Source organism: Homo sapiens, chromosome 15, assembly GCF_000001405.40.
Source record: "Homo sapiens chromosome 15, GRCh38.p14 Primary Assembly".
Taxonomy (NCBI): Eukaryota; Metazoa; Chordata; class Mammalia; order Primates; family Hominidae; genus Homo; species Homo sapiens.
In genome coordinates, this window is record NC_000015.10 from 88,428,418 (window position 1) to 88,452,299 (window position 23,882).

A 23,882-nucleotide genomic window follows, 5' to 3' on the forward strand; every position below is an offset into this window, starting at 1 on the left:
CAGTGCTCTGACAGCGCCTCCTCCCCTGCAGCCCACCCTCAGTCCCCACAAGCTACAGATGGTCACCGGCAGTGTATAAACCTATCTTGATCCCCCTGCAGAATATAAACTCTCTCTCTTTCTCCCTCTTTCTCTCTCTCACACACAAACACAGAGACACACACACACATAAACACACACAAATCCTCATATACACACAAACACTTCCCCACAGCCCCACAAATGCACTCTATCACCCATACTCACTCAAATAAGCGTCCATGAACACCCACACCCTGGGGTCCTCAAAAGTCACGAGAGACCCAGATCACTTACAGTTTTGAGGTTTCCAGCATGTTCAAGCATGACAAATTGCTACAACCGCGTTTCAAAATTTGTAGCTCTTTTAAATGTTTACATTTAACAAATTACCATTGTGTGTTTTAAACGCGAGATAATTGTGTTATCCACAAAATAATTAAAGGATTTATGAACAATTAATTCTTAGGACATGGCAAGCAGCAGCAGGCTTCAGGAATGCATTGTGCTTAGGGCTGGATGATGAATGTCCTCCCCTCGCCATCTTGTCAGCTTATCTCTCGGACTGCATATGTAACCTCATTTGGGGACAATATCAAGAGCCCACATCTGAAGCCTTCTGTGAGTGTGAGGCCCAGCCAGTGGCTCCTGTCAACCCCTGAATGCACACTCACCATGCACGCTCACCAACAAGGCCCTGAGCCCCCACACACTACCACCACATACCCACCCTACCTGCAGGGGGAAAGCCAGAGTCCTGGGACTCACTGGTAACCTCAGTCATCCCTTGACAGTCATTGGAATGTCTCAGAGCTGGGAGGGACCCTCTGTGCCATCTGATCCAGCCCTTTCAAGGCAGAGGCTTCTCCTACAATGCCCCCGCGATGGTTGACCACCTGGCCCAGGCTCGAGCCCTTTCAGATCCTTCCTGACTCAGCAGCGTGGACTGGTCCTAATAGGAAGGAATGTGAAGTCGGCCATCCTAGAACTTCCACTCATTAGCATCCTCCTCCTCTTCTATAGAGTAACCCTAGGATTCAGGAAAAGCGCCATTCAGCCTGCTCTTCTCTGGGACAAAGGGCTTCTGTTCTGTCCACCTGCATCTGGAAAAGTATTGCCTATGTATGTGCATGCGCACACACACACATGCACATGATTACTAGCTCACATACACATATACACTCACATGCTCATACCCATACATGTACACACACACTTTCAAAGACTGCCTTTTAGGGCAAGACCCTGACCTTGAGAGGCAAACCACAGTCTGAAGCCCTCTTTCATTCCCTATTAGTGGTGGCTTGAAAAAGTCATCTGTCTTCTGTAAGCCTCAGTTTTCCCTGTATTTAAAGTGGATCCAAAAGACATCTGCCTCACAAGTCACTGGTCGGATCTACTTGAGATCTTTGTAAGAGCACCCAGCAAACCACCCGGCACATAGTTTCTTTCCTATCTTCCTGTGCTTTGGGGAAATCCTTACACTGACCACGCCCAGTCCACTCCCACCATCATGACCACCAACTCAAACATCCAAGCAGAACACGAGGGCTCTATCATCCTAAGTCGGACTAGATGCTAGAAAACACATTGCCACATTGAGCAAAGTGGGGTCCTGGATCCTGCCCACCTCACCTGCTTTCCATTTACCTCCACTTCTTCCTTATGGCCTACTTTCATGTCTCACTGAAACCCCTGCAGCTCTCAGTCCCCTGCTGCCTCCCTAGGCTTCACTTTTGCTCTCTCTCATTGGAATATCTTCCCTGTCATCTCCCAATTCCTCCCACCACCAGATCAGGGAAAGCTTCCTGGAGGAGGTGAGTCCAGGACTCAGTCTGGAAGAATGAGCTGCATCACTAAATATCTGCCTAACTCCTATTCATCCCTCCAAACTAGTGCCTGACCCCTCCCCCAGAAAACCTTCCCTGATCACCTCACCTCCAGCTAGTTTAGACCATGCATCAATTAGCACTTTTGTTTTCTGATTGCAATGAGTGTTTTTGTTTGGGGGTTGAGATACGTATCAGAAAATGAGTGGAACACTCAAACTAGATAGTTGACAAGAGTTTAACAAAGTGATTATTTTCAAAGGCAGGGTTTAGGGAACCCAAAAAGAGATCGCATCGTACATAGGACTAGAAACAGAGGGCAACCTTAACCCCCGATAGGCCTAACTGGGACAATGGGAGGAGCTGCTAGCAGAACCAGAAGATAATGACATGAAACGGCAGGGCTGGTGGTGGTGAATGTCAGTCAATGTCAGAATGATGTTAGGATCATAATGTTTGTTCAATGTTAACATTTTAATTAAAACTTTTAGTTGATTTTTCCACATTTGTACATATTTTGTATTTGAAAGGTATTAAGGTTTTAGTTTCACTGATTATTTTAAAATGAATTTTAAATACTTCATTTTTAAAAACCAGTATTGCCAGGCGTGGTGGCTCATGCCTGTAATCCCAGCACTTTGGGAGGCCGAGGCGGGTGCATCATGAGGTCACGAGTTCGAGACCAGCCTGACCAACATGGTGAAACCCCATCTCTACTAAAAATACAAAAATTAGCCGGGCATGGTAGCGTGCGCCTGTAATCCCACCTACTCAGGAGGCTGAGGCAGGAGAATTGCTTGAACCCAGGAGGCAGAGGTTGCAGTGAGCCGAGATCATACCACTGCACTCCAGCCTGGGCAACAGAGTGAGACTCCATCTCAAAAAACCAAAACAAAACAAAACAATAAAAACAGGATTAATGCTCGCATTTCAGCAACATATGAATAAATATTCCAACATAGTATTATCATTCTGTTCTGATGTTGAAACTCAGTACTCTTTTGGTTGTAAGGGATAGGAAACCCAGCCCCAAACTGGCTTGAGCAAAAAGGGAATCTGTTACTTCACATGTATGAAGATTCCAGTGTGTCAGCTAGCCTCAGGCCTAGCTCGGCGCAAGGGCAAGAACAATATCACCAGGACCTGGGTTGCTCAGTCTTTCAGTCAGACTCAGTTCTCCTCCATGGGTCCCCTTTATGCTTGGATAGGCCATCCCTCAGGGTCACCCAGAGACTGCAGCAGCTCCAGACCTCACGCCCATTCAACCACACATCGAGCTGGGAGGAGCTGCTTTCCCAGAAATCCGCAGGAGTCCTGCTGCCTCCCATCGGCTCCAGTGGGCTGTTGTGGCCATCGCTACAGCAACCCCTGAGTCCCGCATTATAAGCCGCATCACTGCAGAGCCTGGGGTAAGCTCAGCTTTCTGTGAAACATAGACTGAGGTGGGAAAGGGGCAGTTTCCCCAAAGCATAAGAAACTACCCCAAGAAGAGAGAGCTGATGCTGTGTGACGAAACAACACGTACTCACCTCAGATGCGCCCCTCTGTGCTTCCATAGAATTCCAGACTTCTCTCTTAAATGACTCCCTTCACACTATTAAAAAAAAAAAATCTGGTTGGCTCACACCTGTAATCCCAGCACTTTGGCAGGCCGAGGCAAGCAGATCACTTAGGGTCAGGAGTTCAAGACCAGGCTGGCCAACATGGTGAAACCCCATCTCTACTAAAAATACAAAAACTATCTGGGTGTAGTGGTGCATGCCTGTAATCCCAGCTACTCAGGAGGCTGAGGCAGGAGAATCGCTTGAGCCCGGGAAGCGGAGGTTGCAGTGAGCTGAGATCATGCCACTGCACTCTAGCCTGGGTGACAGAATGAGAGTCTGTCTCAAAAAAAAAAAAAGAAAAAAAAAGTTATTTGGCTAAACTCCTAGAGGACAGGGACTATCAGGTATTCCCAGTCCCAGGAAATGCCTGGCGTTCCATAGTTGCTCCATAACTGTTTGTAGAGTGAACGTCTGATTGGCAGTTCCAGATGATGGTGGCTTGCCTGGGGACCCTCTATCTGACAGGCTGATGGGACAAAGCATTGTAGATATCCTCTGGGTTCTGAATGCAGACCTTAGTGTGTCTAGGATTGCCTGGAGAGCTTAAAACATAGATTTTAAAACATAGATATCCTGGCCCCACCCCTAGAGATTCTGATTCAAAAGGCCTGGGATGGGGCCTGAGACTCTGCATTTCCAGCAAGCTCCTAACCACTGCTGATGTTACAGGCTCTGGACCACGCTTTGTGTAGCAGTGCTTGAGAGAACCCACAAAGGAAGCCCAGAGATTCGGGGAAGAGCCTTTTGCTGGCCAAGACTCAGGCTACCCTGCATGATCAAACAACCCTATTCAAAACCATGCTCTCGTGACTGCTCTATTAACCGAGCATGTTCAAACAGCCTTGCTGGATGGGGCTCGTAATGAAAGAAGTAGACTTTTCAGAACTATCTAGTAAAAGATTTATTCAATTAAAGTGATTCCATTTTTAAAGATATTTGTCCTTTTGTGAAGGCAAAGCCATGCTTTTCTAATTAAAGGCTAATTGTGGGCTAATATGCAGATCTCACTGCTTTCAGCACAGTGAGGCAGAGGGAGAGGGAGAGTCTGATGGCTGTGCTGGAAATCTCAAGAGTGAAGAAAAGATGCGCACTTCATCCCCATCCTTCAGAGGGCCTGCAGGATGAAGCTTACACCTAGTGTCTTCATTCATTCAACAAGCATCTTAAGCACTTTAAAAGAGGGGTATAAAAACACATATGTAAACCTGATCATGTCATTTCCCTGCCTAAGACCCTTCAAAGTCTCCTGCTTGCATAGGATGAAGAACACAATCTTTAATTAGCATGGCGCATAAGTCCTGACAGGCCCCCTCTTCACCTCTTCACCCTCATCTCCTATGACCTGCTCCCTGACTTGGAGGCCAGCCACACTGGACTTGTCCCTGTCAGTTCCTGTGATGCACCTAGTCTGACACAGACTGAACTGTGCCCGCCCCCCACCAAATTCCTAACTGTCAATATGACTGTATCTGGAGAAACAGTCTTTAGGAAGTACTAAGGTTAAATGAAGGGCCTTAAGCCAGTAGGACTGGTGCCCTTAGAAGAAGAGAAAAAGGAACCAGGCGTACCCACTTAAGAGAAAACACCACATGAGGACACAGGGAGAAGGTGGCCGTCTGCAAGCCCAGGAGAGAGGGCTTCACAAGAAAGCAACGCTAGCATTTCAGCACTGCATGAATAAATGCTCAGAGTGTTACCATTTTGTTCTGATACTGAAAATTAGTACTCTTTTGCTTGTAAGCGATAGGAAACCCAGCCCAAAACTGGCTTAGGATGCCATCCTATGGCACCTCGATCTTGGACTCCCAGCCTCAAGAACTGTGAAAAATCAAGTTCTGTTGCTTAAGCCACCTTGGCTGTGGTATTTGGTTATGTCAGCTCTTACAAAGCCCTCACACATGCTGTTCCCTCCTCCTGAAAGACCCTGCTACCCTGCTGCGCTCAGCCAGATTAATTCCTCTACTCAACCTTCAGACCTCAGCTGAAATGTCACCTCCTCACAGAGACCTTCTCTGATCACTCCCTGCTCTGTCTGTTCATCTCCTTTACAGAACCCACCAATTAAACAGATTTTAGATTCCAGAAACATACTCAAATACAAATGAAAAATAAAGCTCATGATCAACACAACCTTCCAAATCAGTAGAACAAAGGATGCAGGATTCAGTAAATGATGTTGGGATAAACTGAGTCTCTAGTTAGGAAAAAAAGAAAAGTTTCGTCACAACCTTATTCTTTACCCAAAAATAAATTCCTGATGGAAGCAAGGTTAATGAACCTTGGAAGTTCAGGAACTGAAGGAAGGTTTTACATTCTTGGAGTTGAAATAGGAAACCACACACCCACCCCCCGCCGCCTTTTTTTCTTTTCTTTTTTTTTTTTTTTAGATAAGGTCTCACTCTGTCACCCAGGCTGGAGTACAGTGGCACGATCTTGGCTCACTGTAGCCTCAACTGTCTATGCTCAAGTGATTCTCCCACCTCAGCCTCCTGAGTAGCTGGGACCACAGGCATGCGCCTCCATGCCCGGCTAATTTTTCTTTTTTTTTTTTTTTTTGTAGAGACAAGGTCTCACTATGTTGCCCAGGCTGGTCTTGAAACTCTTGGACTCAAGCAATCCTCCCATGTAAGCCTCCCAAAGTGCTGGGATTACAGGCATGAGCCACTGAGCCCAGTCAGAAAGGCCTTTTAAAAAATACAAAACAAACCCCGAAACTCTAATAGAAAAGATTGATTACACTACTAACTTCACAAAAATAAAAATGATAATTATAAGAACAGTAACAAATTAAGGGAAATATTTGCAACATATATTAAAGACAAAAGGCTAATTTCTATTATATATAAAGAGTGTCTACAAATCAATAAGATCAAGAGTCCAGTAGGAAAATGTGGATAAGATAAAATAGTTAACGGTAACTAAGATAAAAATGAATTTTTAAACACATAAAAAGATTTACAAATTAAAATGAGATACCTCTCATTTTTACCTATTATGTTAGCCAAGTTGACAAAGCTTAATAACAGATTATTAGCAAGAATATGAAGGAACTGACACTCTCACTCATATGCACTCTCAATGCATATGACCTTTATGGAGACAATAAAACATAATATTTAAAACGTGCAGAGTCTTTAATTTAGAAATTGCAATTCCAGAAAATTATCCTATGGATAGGCTTACACATACATGAAATGATATATGTATAAGAATATTCATTGTGGCATCGTTAAAAATCTAAAAGACTGGAAACAAACTATCCTTCAATATCAGGCTGGTTAAATATATTGTGATACAGTCCATACAACTGAATATCATACAGCCTTTAAAATGAATGAGGCAGTTCCCCTGAACTGATAAGAGTGTGTTCTAAGATATATTGTTATGTGGAAAGGCAAGTTATTGAAGAAGGTGTATATCATGCTAGAACATGTTTAAAAATTTAAAAATATGCGTGCATATACTTATATGTGCATTGATTAACTTTGGAAAGGAACGTAAGGGACTGGTAACCAAGGCCACCTTCCAGGAAGGGAGCTGCAAGGGGAGGCAGACTTCTTTTTCACTGCATAATCCTCTGTAACTTTTGAATTTTGTATACTATGTATCAAAATGAATTTCTGATTAAGAACAAATGAATTAAAAGCCATTTCACAGGAGGAAAATACCAAAAGGGGAAAAAAGCAAAAACAAAATGTTACCAATGATTGTGCGGTGGTTCTAGGAACGCCTTTACTTTTTCTTTGTATTTTTCTATATTTAACTCTATTTCTTTAGTGAACATGTACTGATTTCAAATGGGGAAAAGAATCATTTTTTAAAAGCACTGTCGGAGTCACTAATCAGCATCTTTCCTGTTGAGCCGCATGTGTTCCCAGCTGGAGATGGCATGAAATCCCCCGACCACATCTGTTAATCCTGAGCCATCCCTGTAAAGACCCTCCCAGCCCCTGCATGTGGCTTTAGGGAATCAAGTCATCGCAGCTGCTTCATTGGTCCTACTCCAAGCGTGCTGGAGGCGGGACCTGTGCCTGAATGACAGCAGAGCTCCAACTCCAAGAGGAAGGGAAGAAGCACAGCGACCCCTGGAAACTTGGAAAAACCACACACACACATACACACACACACACACACACACACACACACACACACCAGTTAACATTTGAGCAGCACTCTAGAGTTTGCCAGGAGCATCTTATACATTTTATTTGACTCTCACAACTGCCATGAGATGTAGCTCTGAGGATTCTCCCCCTTTTGAAAGCTAATGAAACTGATGTGCTGAGAGGGAAAGTGACTCATCCAGGCCTCCACAGCTACATGTTCTTGGGTCAGGAGTTCCATACAGATATTCTAGCTCCAAATGTTCAGCTCTCTCTTCTTCATTAAGTTGTTGTTGTGGACACTAAATAAGCTCACCAGAACTGAGTGTCTCTTTTTTTCCTGGGCACACAACTAGATAATATTTCCCTCCCCCTCTTGCAATTCAGTGTGGTCATTCAATTAGTCATGGTTTTTTTGTTTGTTGGTTTTGTTTTGTTTTTGCTTTTTTTTTTTTTTTTTTTTTTGAGATGGAGGCTTGCTCTGTTGCCCAGGCTGGAGTGCAGTGGTGCGATCTTGGCTCACTGCAAGCTCCGCCTCCCGGGTTCACGACATTCTCCTGCCTCAACCTCCCAAGTAGTCGGGACTAAAGGCGCCCACCACCATGCCCGGCTAATTTTTTGTATTTTTAGTAGAGACGGGGTTTTACCGTGTTAGCCAGGATGGTCTTGATCTCCTGACCTCATGATCCACCCGCCTCGGCCTCCCAAAGCGCTGAGATTACAGGCGTGAGCAACCGCACCCGGCCGGAATTAGTCATGATTTTTTAGTATGATGTTCTGACATCCAAGACCTGGGGAAACTGCCCCTCCCAGAGTTGGCACATTTCTAGAGATAGTGACCCTCCCAAGAGTACACCTTTCAAATGCAAATTACCCAATCCAAAGCCCACACCCACAACACCTGCCCTCATACTGTGGGACACTATTTCCCTGCCCTACTTACCCCAGGGTCAGCCATCAGACAACTAGGGGCAGCCCCTACCCCCCTGAGTCTCAAACTAACCAATTCTAAACCTGCTTACCCTGCCTTCCCCAGACAACCTCAGTGAAGGTTTCCCCACAGTTCCCCTCACTCCCTCTGCCTCCTCCCACATGTGGCCCTGCGTGGCATGGCATGCCCCCTTCTTATCGGGAACTGTCAGTAACAGATTCTCTTTTCAGTGGTAATTGCCTCCTGATCTGTTGGCCTCACTGTACATGAGCAATCATAAAACTTACATTTTAAAATAGTTATGAGGCTAAATTTCTAGCCAATGGAAGGTGAGCAGAATTTCAAGATGTCACCTCCAGGGCTGGCCCATGAAAGCCTCCCATGCAGGTTTCTCTCTCTCTCTCTCTCATACACACACACACACACACACACGTGTGCATGCACGCACACACACACACGTGTGCACACACAACTGGCTGGATGTACAGCATCCAGCGAAACGTTTGCAGGTCCTAGGGATGATGGAACTACAAAGGGAAAGGAACCTGAGTGCCCGAATTACCACATGGAAACCACCTGCCAAACACCCAAATCACACTCATACCTGAACAAAAAGTAAACTTCTATTGTTTTAAGATACTGCAATCTTGAGTTTCTCTGCTACACCAATGGCACTACCCTGACTAATTCAGTTGCCAAAACATGCCTTTGGTGACTTCCCCCTCTTCCCATAGCCCTCCTTGTCTCTCAGACTCCTTTTCTTCATTCTCCATTTCCCCAAGGCCTTGGGGCTCTACAGTTCCCCTAGACTGTCGAAGGCCCTCTAGAAGAGCATCCTATTCTATCAAGTATATTCCTCCAAATTCAAGGAATTCCACAAATGTCTCCGAAGTGCCTACCTTGTTGCAGGGCACCGAACAGGATATGAGATGAAAGTACCAGGCCTGTGGGTGGGCTGGGTACCAGCTACTGGAGGTGAGGAGCTAGGCTGGCTCCGGGGACACAGGGATGAATCCGAGTATTTGCCACTTGTATTACAGACTCTCCCCATTGCTAGGTATGCAGATTTCAACATCAAAGAAAAGAAGGGGAAGGAGGAGAGACAGAATGAGATTGCAGTTAACTGAGACTCAAAGAACCAGGACAAGACCGATTAGGGGCCCCAAGGGGAACCACGGAGTATCTTGAGAACCTGGGGTCAAAGGGGAGGCATAGGGACTCAAAAAGCGTAGGTAAGAATGCTGAAGACAGGGAGCACTCATGTTCCACAGGGTTTTGAAGAAGACCCTAGAGCTATTAGCCTTCTGTTTCTGAAACTAAGCCTCCACTGTAAACACCCCAGAAACACCCACCAGTGGCTCACCTCTTCCCATTGTCCCTCATCAGGTGAGAGAGCATTTGTGTCTACAGCTCTGGGCCTGGGCCCTGGGCTCACTGGACTGCTGAATGCACCTCCATCAGTCACGCAGCCCCGAGGGGCACACGTACACATTCAGCAAATGTGCAGAGCTTGCTGCAAGGACCTGGGGAGGCAGCATGTGTGAGACACTGCCTTAGTCAAGCATCACTTGGCTGCAAGAAACAGGGACCCCCCCCCCCACCACACCTCTTCAAATTAGCTCAACTAATAAAGAGTTTTATTGAAGGGCTACCAGAAAAACTCGAGAAGATAGCACGAAGTGAAAGTAATTCTCACAGCAGCTGGAAAGTCATCTGTGCTTCCCTCTCCCTCCCTCCCGCCTCTTTCTGGGAAGCGCCATCATGTTTCCAGTTCTCTCTGTAGAAGGGCGTCATCTAGGTGCTGTCATTCTGGTTCATCCATAACTTAGGCTTTCCATGGCTTCCATGAGCCAGGCTCACTTGGCCTCAACTCCACAGGGCGCCATAGCGCAGCCTCCCAGCTCACCAACTCATTCTCTCTCATAGTCTTAATTTCAAATTCTTAAAAGAATTGATCTGATTAAGGAACTTATCAAACCAGATCATATGTCCACTCCCGGTATCATCAGCATGGAAGAGAGAGCTGCCCTTCCAGCTGCTGGGAGCCCTGTCAGATGAATAAGCAGAGTGTGTAGGCAGAGATACAAACTCCCTCACAGAGCCACTGCAGACCAGCTCTGGCTCTCTGAAACCTCACGGTCCAAGCTCTGGGAGAGAGTGTCTTCCAGCAAACTCCAACAGGGAATGAAAATGAGACATCAATCCTATTTCCCAGGGAGGAACCATGAATCCAAGGCAGAATGACCTATGGCAGGTCAGGAACTCAACTGGGTCACCATGGGAGCAATTGTCCTGGCTTCACACAGATCCATCCCATCCTGTGTCTCCCACTGACCCAGACCATATAGCAGCATCCTTGCTCCCTAGGCACTTATACGCCAACATACACCATGCTGGTCTAAGAGGATCTCACGTATTGCAATGCAGAAATACAGAATGTAAACAAACCTTGTCCCATGGTGGCAAAAGAAACGCAGAGACCTGGTTGCTTATCCTGATCCTGAAACTAGCTTGCCAAGTGAAGGCAGACAAGCCACTTCCTCCTCCTGCACTAGATGACCTCGATTGTCTACCCTTCCAGCTCTGACCTTCCTTGGCTGAGGGACATCTCAGGCAGGGCTAGTGGCGTAGTATGTGAAAAGGAAGATGGTTCGTGCTTTTTTCTGCTTAGTTAGAAAAGATTCTCTGGATGAGGCCAGTTCCCAGAATTGCTTAAAAGAGGGAAGGGAGAGGGCAGTAGACTACAATGGAAAGAGTTTTCAGGCCTGGTGCCACTTGGGAGAAAGGGCTGGGTCATTGTCATAAGACAGGTACATCTGACTGGGCAGAAGATTGGTTTCCTGTTGAAAGATGTTGGTCCTCATGGTCTTCAGCAGGTGTGAGTATGCATATGGAGGAGCTGGAGCAGTGTGGGGGCAGCCAGAAGGTAAAATACTTGCTTTCCGTGGTCTTCTCTACAGGGTCTCCAAGGAGGCTCTTGGGGGATTCTTCAGGGCATCCTGGGGTGAGTTATAAGCATTTCTGTCATAAGGCACAGAAACCCCACCGAAATTATCATAGTCAAATGATAATTCAGTGCCACATGTAGCTGAAAAGTTCAGAGGTAGGTCTGGCTTCAGGCATGGCTGGATACAGGTGCTCAAAGAGAATCACCAAAACCTGGTTCTTTATCTCTAAGGCCCATTTTCTCTGGATAGCATTCATTCTCAGAAAGACTCTCCTGGTATAACCACAAGATGACTGCAGCAGCTCCACCACATACCTCCAGGTTTAAGTCCTATGAGGAAGTGTGAGTCAGCTTTCCTAGCAATCCAACAAACAAAAAACCCAGAACTGAATTTCACTGGCTCTGACTGGTCTCCCTTGAATTATGTGCTAGTTCCTGAACCAATCACTGTCAGCAGGGGAATGGAACGCTCTGGTTTTGTAAGTCTGAGCCTTACTGTATAACCCATGGGCCAGGGGTGGATCCTGCTCAACCACATGGGCTGAGAGAGAGAGAGAGATGGATTCTCAGATGCTATTACCAGGAAAATCAGGAATGGGTGTTTGGAAAGCAAATTACCCATGATCACTATAGCAGGTTATCCTAAACTGGGACTATTGCTAACAGTACATTTTCATTGCAGATGTAAATTCAGGTGGAAAAGACCTCCATTTCAGCTATATACTGACATATCTTATCCTCCTAGCAGGGGAGGATTTTTTTTTTAAGTTCTGGGATACATGTACAGAATGTGCAGGTTCATTACATAGGTAAATGTGTGCTATGGTGGTTTGCTGCACCAATCAACCCATCACCTAGGGATTAAGCCCAGCATGCATTAGCTATTTTTCCTGATCCCCTCTCTCCTCTGCCACCCCTCGGCAGGCCCCAATGTGTGCTGTTCCCCTCCCTATGTCCATCTGTTCTCATTGTTCATCATTCTACCCCATGAAATGCTAATACAGGGCCTGTCTGGTACACAGTAAGTGCTTAGTACCTGCTTCTTGAATTGAATATCTGCAATGGAAAAAATCAAAATGAGCACTGCATGCAGCATCTTATATAATTTGCCAAGAACTTTTGTATCCATTTTCTAATTTCATCTTCCCAAAGCCCTATCAGAAAGGCATTATTAGCCTTACTTTACAGGTTTGAAGATGGAAGATCAGTCAGCTGGTAAGTGACTTGTCCAGCTGGTGAGTGTTGGAGCAGGGTCTCAAACCCAGGACTTTTCAACCTAAAGTATGGGTTCTTTCCTCTCCACTGTACAACCAACCAGTCAAGAAAGGAGAGGACACCAGCACCAGGGTTTGGGTCCCTGCTACCCTAGCCCAGAGAGATTCAGCCACAAGAAACTACTTCCCATCCACTAAGATGGCCAACGGGGTCTCTTTTCCTATGGATCTGGAGATAGTCCTGTTCCCATATCATGTGTCCTGGGGACACAGAGCCTTAGGGGCAGGAATAAATGCTGAGATGAGCACTGTGGTGCCAGGCAACCTGATTGATCCTCTGCCAGAGCCCCCAGCCCCTGACACCCTCCAGTCCTCTACTAAGGCTGGGGCCAGGGCTGAGCTGAGTTCTGAACATCATTTATTGACACATAAAATCCAAAGGTTTGTTTCTCCAAGGTTCCGCTGAGCCTGCATTTTTTAAATAACTACTCCAACCACTGAAAACATGCCTGTCCTTTTGGTTACTGCCTTTGAAAGACTTGATATATTTTGGAGCATTTGTATACTTAATATTTTTAAATTGAATTTAGAATTTTTACAGCATTGCTATTAAATATGTGTCACCTATTTTGAACTGTATATAAAAGTGTTTATAAGAGTGGTGTGCATGTCCCAACATTTATTTAATCCTCTAAATTAACCTTTGAATGTCTTGCAAAGTGCCTTGTTAAGCATGTCACTTTTTTCTCTTAACACAGTGCATAAAAATATTCATAAAATTGCATTGTTTTTGAGCATTAATCCACTTATCAAAAATAGGTATGTGGTTGTGTTCATTTATTTAATTAATTGAGGACTTTAAATTTTCAAAAAGGGTAAAAATGGCCAACCAAATGTAAGATATCTGAGAAGCCACAAAGGAACTGCTTATCCAACCTTAGAGAAACAATCAAACTCTAACGCTGACATGAAACAGACACACTAAACATGGACAGAGGCTGAAGGGTGGAGAAAAAAGACTAGGAGTTGGAGTAAAGAAAATGCTGCAACTAACTGGACAAAGAGAAGTTCCAGATATGCAGCACCAATGAGCTATAATGAGCATGATCTGGCTCAATGCAGGAAATATGTAACCAATACAATCATCACAGTGAACTGGAATACTATTCACCTCTCACTCCCCACGTTGCCCTCCGTACTCAGAGGAACACGTTCTTGTTTTTTTAGTGATCAGCTACAAGCCCCAGGGGAAATCTTTTGACAGAACTTCAAATCCTAGAGAATGATATGCTCTGTCAAGAGTTTGATTATTGGGCTCATTACAGGTTTTATGTGAGAAGAATAAGATTAACTGTTCACAACAAAATGGATGAGAAAATCCAATTTTATTAATAGCAGGTAAGATCTGTTGAAATGAAGTGTGTTGCACTACGTATACCTCATTTCCCATCAGGTCCTGCTGATTTGCTGCCTTTTAGGTACTTTTTCGAGCTGTTTAGTACCTATTGGGTTATGTGACATCATGATTGACGCCTCAGGCTCTCACTAGACTTGGAGAAAGGGCAGCTTGGCATAACACCCAGAGCACTGGGGTTATGTACTACATTGACCTTGGTAATTTGGACTCCTGGAATGATTAGTTTCTTTAAGTTCATGTACACACACACACACACACACACACACACACACACCTGGCAACCTCAGGATTCTTTCTCTTCTGTCCACCAGGAGATCCCATTCTCTTTGTACTCAAGGTAAGACTTGCTAAGATCCAAAGACTGGACTTAAGTAGTTAGAGGGCTGTCAACTATGAGCACCAATGGCCTTATCAAGCAGCTTGTTTGTTTGATTGTTTGGTTGTTTGTAGAGATGGAGTCTCACTATGTTGCCCAGGCTGCCTTGAACTCCTGGGCTCAAGCAATCCGCCTGCCTCAGCCTTCCAAGTAGCTGGGACTCGCACCCGACTTATCCAGCAGATTCTTAACATTTTCCCCTATCACAACACTTGTGAAAGATGTGAAAAACTCAAGCATGGCATACTCTCTTCATACAAACAGATCTTAACAAAAACTACTAATCATTTTCCAAGGAAGAAAAATATTACAATAATTATCAATAATACTAAGGGCCACAAACTTATGGCCAATGGGCTAAAAGCAGCCTATCCCACAGAAGCATTTCCTTTGGTCTGCATAATATTTCTTAAATATTTGACTTTTTTTGCTATCTTGAAAATGGGATGGTTTTACACTAAAAGAACAGTGATCTGGGCTTCTAGTTAGTATACACAAGGTCATGAAAGACAGTTACTCCCACCATAACACTGAGAAAACATCAGATAAACTGTAAAATCATGTTTTGTAAACCCACCAGAGAGCTGAGGATGCAGAGAAATCTAAATAAACTAAATCTTAGAGAAAGAGAACCCTTTCATAATGGAACAGAGACCTATGGCTGCTTTTATTCTTGGGGATATGGGCAGACAGAGACACACACCTGCAACAGACTGGGGTGCTCTGCTGAATTAAAGAGAGCTGAGAATGACAGACTGGAGTTTGATTGAGCCCTCAAAGTAGATGGTGCTCACTAGCCACCAGTTCTCCCCCATGGGACTTCAATTGAGTATGCAGTAACTTATGGACCTGGGCTGGAAACCAGAGCAAGAGTTCTCCCACAGAATGGAAATCTGGGGGCAGGCAGGAAGTCAAAGAGGGAGAGAGAGAGGTCGTATAATCAGTTTAGATCCCAAGGGTGAGACCTGATCCCATCCACAAGACATTTTTGAAAACAATGAAACCACTGAATGAAACCATTGTTTTTGCTGCTAAAAGAAGAAAAGACATCACTTTTCTGGGGGTAAATATTACCTACTTCAGCTTCTACCCTGCTTTTGTATACAATGTCTAGCTTGTGATCCAAAGTTCTAATAAATGCAAAGAATTACAACTGTAATCAAGAGAAAAATAGTCAATAGAAGCATACCTACAGATGACCCAGATAATGAAATTAACAGGCAAGAAATTTAAAAGAGCAGTTACAAATATTTTAAGTTACTGGGAAGTATGAATATAATGAGTAAAAAGATAATATCATCAGAGAAGCAGAAACTTTGAAGAAGAATCAAATGGAAATTTCAGACCTAAAAAGGTAAATATCTGAAATGAAGAAGTAACTTAATAATGAGCTGGACAAAGCAAGGATCAGTAAGCTCAAAACCAGACCAATTAAAAAAATAGCAAAACTGAAGCACAAAGAGAAAAAAAAAATTCTTAAAAACCCAGAACATGCCATCAGAGTACTGTGGGGAAAAAAATCAAATGGTATAATATAAACACAACTGAAGTCCAAAAAGAAGAGAAAGATAATTGAAGCAAGATAAATATTTAAAAGGATAATGACCCAGAATTTTCTAAATTTTATGAAACATATCAACCCACAGATTCAAGAAGCTCAGTGAATCTCAAGTCAGATAAATACATCTAAGCATATTTTAGCTAAACCACTAAAAACCAAAGATGATGAAAAAAAATCTTCAAAGCAGAGGAAAAAGAAACATTAAATCTAGAGGAATAACCATGAGATTTACAGATTTATAGCAAACTTCTCAACAGAATCAATGGAATTCAGAAAATAATAGAGTTATATTGTTGAGATCCTAAAAGGGAAAAAACTGTCACTCTATAATTCTATATAGTGTGAAAACATAATTCAAAAATAAAGCAAAATAAAGACATTTTCAGAAAAACAAAAGAAGAGAATAATCATCACCAGTAGACTAAACTAAAATAAATACTGAAAGAAGCTCCTCAGGCTGATGAACATTATGGAGGCCAAAACTTTCAGGAAGGAATAAAGAGCACAGGAAAGGGGTATTTGCAAATATATATACATAAACCTACTATTTAAAGCAAAAATTAACATTGAAGTGTTAAGCTAATATCATGTCTAGAAGTAAAATATATGAAAAGTAGCACAAATGGTAGGAGAGGAAATAAAAGGAATCATATTTTGTCAGATTCATACATTGTTAAATTGTATTATGGTAATTAATACTAATTACATGATTTATTAAATGTGAAAAGTTAAGATGAATATTATAATTTCTAGAATACACATTTAAAATAATATACAAAAGTACAGCTTCAAAGCCAACAAAGGAATAAAGTATAATAATAAAAAATGCCTGGTTAATTCAAAAGAAGGCCAGAAACGAGGAACAAATATATAAAAAGAGATGGGACACATAGTAAGAGGGCAAACTTAAACCCAACCATATCCTTAATTATACTCACCAGACACTTAAATTTTTTTAAAAAGAGGTTGCCTGTTTGGATAAAGAAACAAGCTCAAATTATGCTGCTTGCAAGAGACATACTTGAAATATAAGGACACAGTTTGAAAGTAAACAGATTGAGAAAAGATGTCCCGTATAAATGCTAATCAGAAGAAAGCTGATGTGGCTATATTCATTTATATAAGAGACAAATAGACTTCGAGATAAGGAGTGTTAGCAGAAACAACAGGGACATGTTATAATGATAAAAGGATCAATTCATCAGGAAGACCTAACACTCATAAATGCGTACGCACATAACAACAGAGCTTCAAAGTACATGAAGCAAAAACTAACATAAGGGAGAACTAAACAAATCCACAATCACCGCTGAGGATTTTAACACAGCAATGAATAGAACAAGTAATCAAAAAACAAGTATACAGAAGATTTGAACACTATCAACTACCTTGAGCTAATTGATATTCATAGAAAACAATATTCAACAACTTCAAAGCATACTTGTTGTTAAATTCACATGGAACAGTCACCAACATAGTCTATATGCTAGGACATAAAGCAAGTCTTCATAAATCTCAAAAGAGTATGTTCTCTGACTACAATGGATTAAAACAGAAATCATCAACAAAACATAACCCAAATAAAACATATATATAATACATAGATAAAAAATACAAAATAATAAAAGACACTTCAATTAAAAAGGAAAAAGAAAGGCAAGGAATTTAAAAGGAACTTTATAAAAGAAGATACTGAATGGCCAATAAATATCAGGAAAGATGCTCAATCTTAGTATTCATCAGTGATATGCAAATTAAAACCACAGTGAGGTACCACTACATACACACTAGAATGGCCAAAAGTGCTCATGAGGATGTGGAGGCACTAGAACTCTCATATATTGCTAGTGAGAGTATAAACTGATACAACCTTTATGAAAAATTGTCAGTTTCTAATCAAGTTTCATATACGTATCCTATAGCCCAGCAATACTAGTCATATATATGTATCCAAGAGGAGTGAGTGCACATATCCACAAAAAAGGATCATATATGATGGTTCGTAACAGCTTTATTTCCAATAGCCCAAAAGTGAAAACAATCCAAATATTCTTCAATAAGAGCATAGATCAACAAACTGTGATATTTGCTATTACTCAGCAATAAAAGGGAATAAACTGCGAATACATGCAACATGGAAAACTCTCAAAAGTATACTGAACAAGGGAAACGAGACACAAAAGAACACAGACTGTAAGATTTTATTAATAGGAATCTGAAGATCAGACAAAGCTTATTTATGGCTATAGAAATCAGTGGTTACATGGCCAGGCACGGAGGCTCATGCCTGTAATCCCAGCACTTTGGAAGGCCAAGATGGCCAGGTCACTTGAGGTCAGGAGTTCAAGACCAGCTTGGCCAACATGGTGAAACACTGTCTCTACCAAAAATACAAAAAAATAGCCAGGAATCATGATGCATGCCTGTAATCCCAGTGACTCCGGAGGCTGAGGCAGGAGAATTGCTTGAACCCAGCAGGCAGAAGCTGCAGTGAGCTGAGATCACACCACTGCACTCCAGCCTGGGTGACAGAGCGAGACTCCATCTCAAAAAAAGAAAAAAAAATCAGTGGTTACCTTTGGGGGAGGGGGCTAGCTGTTGACTGGGAAAGAAGCACAAAGGAACTTTGTGGGTGGTGGAAATGTTCCATCTCTTTATGACGGATGGTGGTTACACATGTAAAATGTATACATGTGTAAAGACGCATTAAGATTTGTATGCTTTATTGTATACAAATTATGCCTCAAAAATAATACCCTATACATATCTGGTTTCTTTGGAAAACATGAGAAAATCAGCCAACACAGGGCTCACACTCTCACATGGTGACAGTTGGCTGGAGGAAGGTACATATCACTTCAACACAGACCCCACCACTCTCTATTGCCCACTCCCAGCCCATCACACTCATTTCTACCCCCTGCCTGGCTCCATACTGCCCAGGTCCAACCACCCTGGCACATTGGTCAGGCTGGGAGTCCTGAATGAGAGTACCACAGCAGCCACCCAGCTCAGACTGCCAGCTAGTGGACTAATCAGACTCTTGTTTTCTGGCTCACATTTGGAAATTGTTCTTCCTTTATTCTAAGCCAACGATAATTCAGTGGGGCAGAAGCCTCAAAAGAGAGAGCTTGAACTTCTGAATCATAAAGACTACTCAAGCAATTAATTGGAAAAACTAAAAGAAACGAGATGGTATTTGCATTCCAAGCTGGTGAAGTAGGTCATATTGATTACATTTTTTTAATCATTTGAGTAAATCATGTGCAAACTCTATTTTAAAAGTGATAGACACCTTTTTGCCTCAGTTCAGAGTACAGTTACAGGGCTTTACCTTTGTCTAGTGGCTGAGCTGGGTGACAATACAGGGAGGGAATCTCACAGAGTAGCTGACAGTAGTATGCCAGGCATCACACCCACAAACAAGGGCCACTCAGCTTCCTGACCTGGAACCTTTGGGGCTGCAGACTTGTGATACTCACACAACTTATCTGCTGGTCTGGCACAGCCTTGACCTATCAGAACTGATACTGGCCAAATTATGGAGCAGAGTCCTCATAACTCTCTCAGTTAATGGACCAGTGGGAAGTCTGGGAAGATCACAAGGGGAGAAACCATGACTAACAGAGTAGTAGGAGGACTCTTAAGGCATTGACCAGCCAGAATGAACATTTTTAATATTGATTATACGGCCTCATCACACCAGTGGGTGCTGGGCCAGAGCTCTGTTGGAATCAGCTCACCCCAACTCTCGAGAGTCAATTGTGCACACCTCTTCCCAATTCTGCATTTAGTGACACCATAATGATGGCTCAAAAATCAGCCATGGTGGGAATATTTGCAACATGGAGATGGACAAGTAAGTGCCACAAAACAACACATCATTCCCACCCCCACACTTCCAAAAGCCTGTTTACCTGTACACAGCTAGTAAAGACTCAATATCAGCTGCAACCCCACTCACACTCAGGACAGTCTCTGCACTCAGGAACCCTGGTGACAGGCAATCCTCTAAGGGCTTTAAATATAAACACTCATTTAACCTTTACAGCAACCCCACAAGGTACATCCTATTAGTATTCTCATTTTACTGATGAGGAATTGAGGTACAGAAAGATCAACTGACTTGCCCAAAGTCACACAGCTACTAAGTGGAAGAGCTGAATCCAAACCTGACAGCCTGGAGCCCGAATCCACGTGCTTCACCCTACACAGCACTGCCTTTCTTTCTTCTTCCCTTTTCAAAAGCTTCAGTGGGTCATGAATACAGAACCCAAATCACCAGCTACAGAAAACCTGATTTCCCTTTTCTCAGAACCAGGGAAGGCCCATTGCTCAGGCCTCACTTCTTCAAGAGAATGGGAGACGTGTGCATCTAATCTTGAGAAAAATTCCCCTCCCAACACCCCCACCCCAGAAATGTGCCTAATGATGTCTTTTAAAACGCAAGGTGGTTTTCATTAACAAAACAGGTGGACCGTCCACACGCAGTATTATTGGTAACGGATGGTTTTCTGCCTCCTGGCTCTAGCTGCCTGGCCCTGCCCTGCCGTCTGCTCCCGGATACTGGGGGTATAAACCCTCCTGGCCTTCTAGGCCTGTTGGAAAATGCTGGCCTGGCTCCAGGCATCAAAAGCACATCCGGCCCTTGCCCAAGCCCTGCACGGGGGCCTGAGCAGGCCTCTGGGAGATCCTGGCTAGAGGCATCAAGACCAGATGGCCAGGGAGATTACTACAATTTGATTTCCACATAATCCATGAACTTGGATAAGCAAATGTCTCTTCATATGCATTATCTTGTAATCCCAGGGAGGGCTGTGCAAAGCAAAGAGCCTGGTTCTTCCGCCTCCACAGGCCCAGCATGCTGGGTAATCCCTGCTCTACTGGACAGGGCTTCTGAAAGCCAAGCAGCTCTGCCAGGAGGCTAAGGAGATGCTGCCTCCAGGGCAGCGCTGGCTCCTCGGAAGCCTGGTATTTGAGCACAGGGAGGAGACCCTGGGCTCCCAGTGGCTCCCAGAAAGCATCAGGGATTTGAAATGCTGCAGCCAGGCAAACCCCACATGGCATGTGGGCAAAAGCCCAGGCTGGGATTCAGGACTCCTGGAATCTCCTGCCTTTGCCTCCACTCTTTGTGAGGTCTAAGACAGGTGACTTCTTGTCTCTAAGCCTGGTTATCCCCAAATGTAAAGCAAGAAGGTGGAGGCAGGTTATTTAAAGAGTCCACCTTGCTTTGCATTGCATGTAGCCATGCGTGAGCACAGGCCTGGATTGCCTCCCTGTCACATGTCAGGAGCTGCTAACCCAAGACCATCCTGAGGCAGGCGCCCCACCCTACTGGCTGTCTCCAGAACCCCAAAGTGCCCTTCATGAACCTGGTCCCTGGATCACGAGGACTAGATTTAAGTCCCAGCTCTGCCACTCACGAGACTGAGGCGGGGCCACGCACATCACTTCCACAGCTCCACGCTGCCCTTACTCCTAGTGAGGTTTATACAACCCTGCTTTCCTCCGGCATCTTGTGAGGGTCACAAAAATTAGGATGCCAGACTACAGAGAGAATCTAGCCTCTCAGTCTACTCAAAGCAAAAGTACGTTAAACTGAATCAAATACATGGGAAAACAATAGGATGTTGCTGTTATTACCTTTTTTCCTGGCTCTGTCTACCCTTTCACATTTCACCTGTCTTGAATTCCCACACCCTCTTCATGACTCTGCTTAATCCCATCAACTCACCCTAATGTGTTAATGACTTGGTTGGTGACTTCTGCCTCCCAATACAGCTGCATGTTTGCAGTGGCCTTCAATGCCTTCACTCAATTTGTAATAGGCAGATGGTCACTCCGTGATGCTCACATGCCAGGAGGTGTGAGGGAAGAGGGAACGTGGGCTTCCGGACCGGCAGCACAGCTTTCGACTTGGAGCGTCTGGGACGTGTATACGTTTGTGTGTGGCGCCTCCCTGTGGACACCACAGGTATTGCCTGGGACCGACCCTGATTGCCAACATCTATCTCAGCCTCTGGCAGTCCCCACCAGGATTGTGGAGGCAACTTTCTTATGTTGTCAGTGAAAAACCCGAAGCCCACATGGGGGTGGATAACTTGTTCAAGATCAAACAGTTCCTTAGGCATTCTGCAAAAAGGAAGAAGTGATCTGTAATAGCACCTCATAATTCTATAAGCATGAATGCTGAGGCAGAGAGCAGCTTGCCCAAGTCAGTTTCAAAGCTAGAAATTTAGATTTGAGGACCAATCCTCATACAATACATGCACCTAAATCTTTGGGGAGAGAGACGACCTCATTCTTTCCTGTTTATCTCAGGTAGTGATAGTCCCCCTGCTTCTGAAGCCACATCTGGTCTACTATTGCAAAATCTGCTTATGCCTGATGCCCCTTGAAGTTTCCACAAGGGCCTGACTCGACTGAGGGTTCACCCTCCACTCTCCAAATGGGCTCTGCCCAAGACGACCAGTGTCGTCACTGTTGTCATTTGTAATCCATCTGGAGAGGGATGAAGACGTCCCGGAGCCACTCAGTTCATGGGCTCAGGGATGCAACAAGCTCTATCCAGAAAAATTCTAGAACAGTGGGGACTGGTGGTAGGGGGGACAGGGGTTGTCACTGTACTCATTCATTCAACAAATACTGAAAACTCTGTACCAGGATTTGGTCCAACAGCAATCTGATCACAGTCGGAGGAAAGGTTGTAGGTCAGAGTTGAGACAATTATTAAGGTGAGCTGTGGGCGTTGGCTGAGCATCAGTCAGGGTCCAATCAGGAAAAACTCAGCCATGCCAGGTAGTTCAGAAGAATGAGTTTAATATAAGGAACTAGTTACAAACGTGTTGGAAAGACTGAAAAATGAAAACAGAGGATGGTGGAACACCCCAGAGATTAGCAAGTTAGAAGTCACTGCCACTCCCAGGGCTGGGGGGACAGAGGAAGGACGTGGTGCTCCCAGGAGCCTCGACTACCTGCAGAAATTTGAATCATGAAGGCAGCTGCCAGCAGAGCTGGGCCCAGAGTAGATGCTGGATTGCCACACACAAAAAGAATGAGGAGAAGTACCTGGCTGCTCCTCCTTTCAGTCTCTTGTTGGTACCTCTTATGGCCAAATCCAGCTGGAATCCAGTTGGCAAAAAAGTTTAAGAAATGTAATTTGCAGGCCGGGCGCGGTAGCTCACGCCTGTAATCCCAGCACTTTGGGAGGCCAACGCGGGCAGATCACGAGGTCAGGAGATTGAGACCATCCTGGCGAACACGGTGAAACCCCGTCTCTACTAAAAATACAAAAAAATTAGCCAGGCGTGGCAGTGGGCGCCTGTAATCCCAGCTACTCGGGAGGCTGAGGCAGGAGAATGGCATGAACCTGGGAGGCAGAGATTGCAGTGAGCCGAGATCCCACCACTGCACTCCAGCCTGGGCGACAGAGTGAGACTCTGTCTCAAAAAAAAAAAAAAAAGAAAGAAATGTAATTTGCAGTGGTTAACACCCTCCCCAACATGCACACACATACATATGCATTACAAAACACAGCAGGGAAAGACTAGGGAATGGGTCTGAGAGCAACAGGCAAATGCCCCAGTGTGTGAGGTGCATGTTCAAGCCTACACGTGACGTGAACGTTCAAGAATACGCGTGTGTATTATATCAGCTTCAAAGGTGTGTCGGCAGAGTGTGCATGTGTGTGTTTTAGTGTGACCGTTCAAGGGTATGCATGTATCAGACGGAGAACAAGCTTTATACCTGTGTGTGATAGGAACAAACACCCAAGTGTTTGTGTGTGATGCGAACATTCAAGACTATGTGTATGTGTGATGAGAATATTTAAAGCTCTTGGGGGACATGTGTGTGTGTGCTGTGAATGTTCAGGAGGTGTATA

At 44.2% G+C, this 23,882-nt stretch overlaps 1 annotated feature.

The window, feature by feature from the left end:
• Positions 21,781-21,850: an enhancer, noted in NCBI's record as "active region_10026". NCBI's record gives its function as "activates an Ori minimal core promoter by ATAC-STARR-seq in GM12878 lymphoblastoid cells {active_cell/tissue: GM12878}" and the evidence as "EXISTENCE:reporter gene assay evidence [ECO:0000049][PMID:35858748]".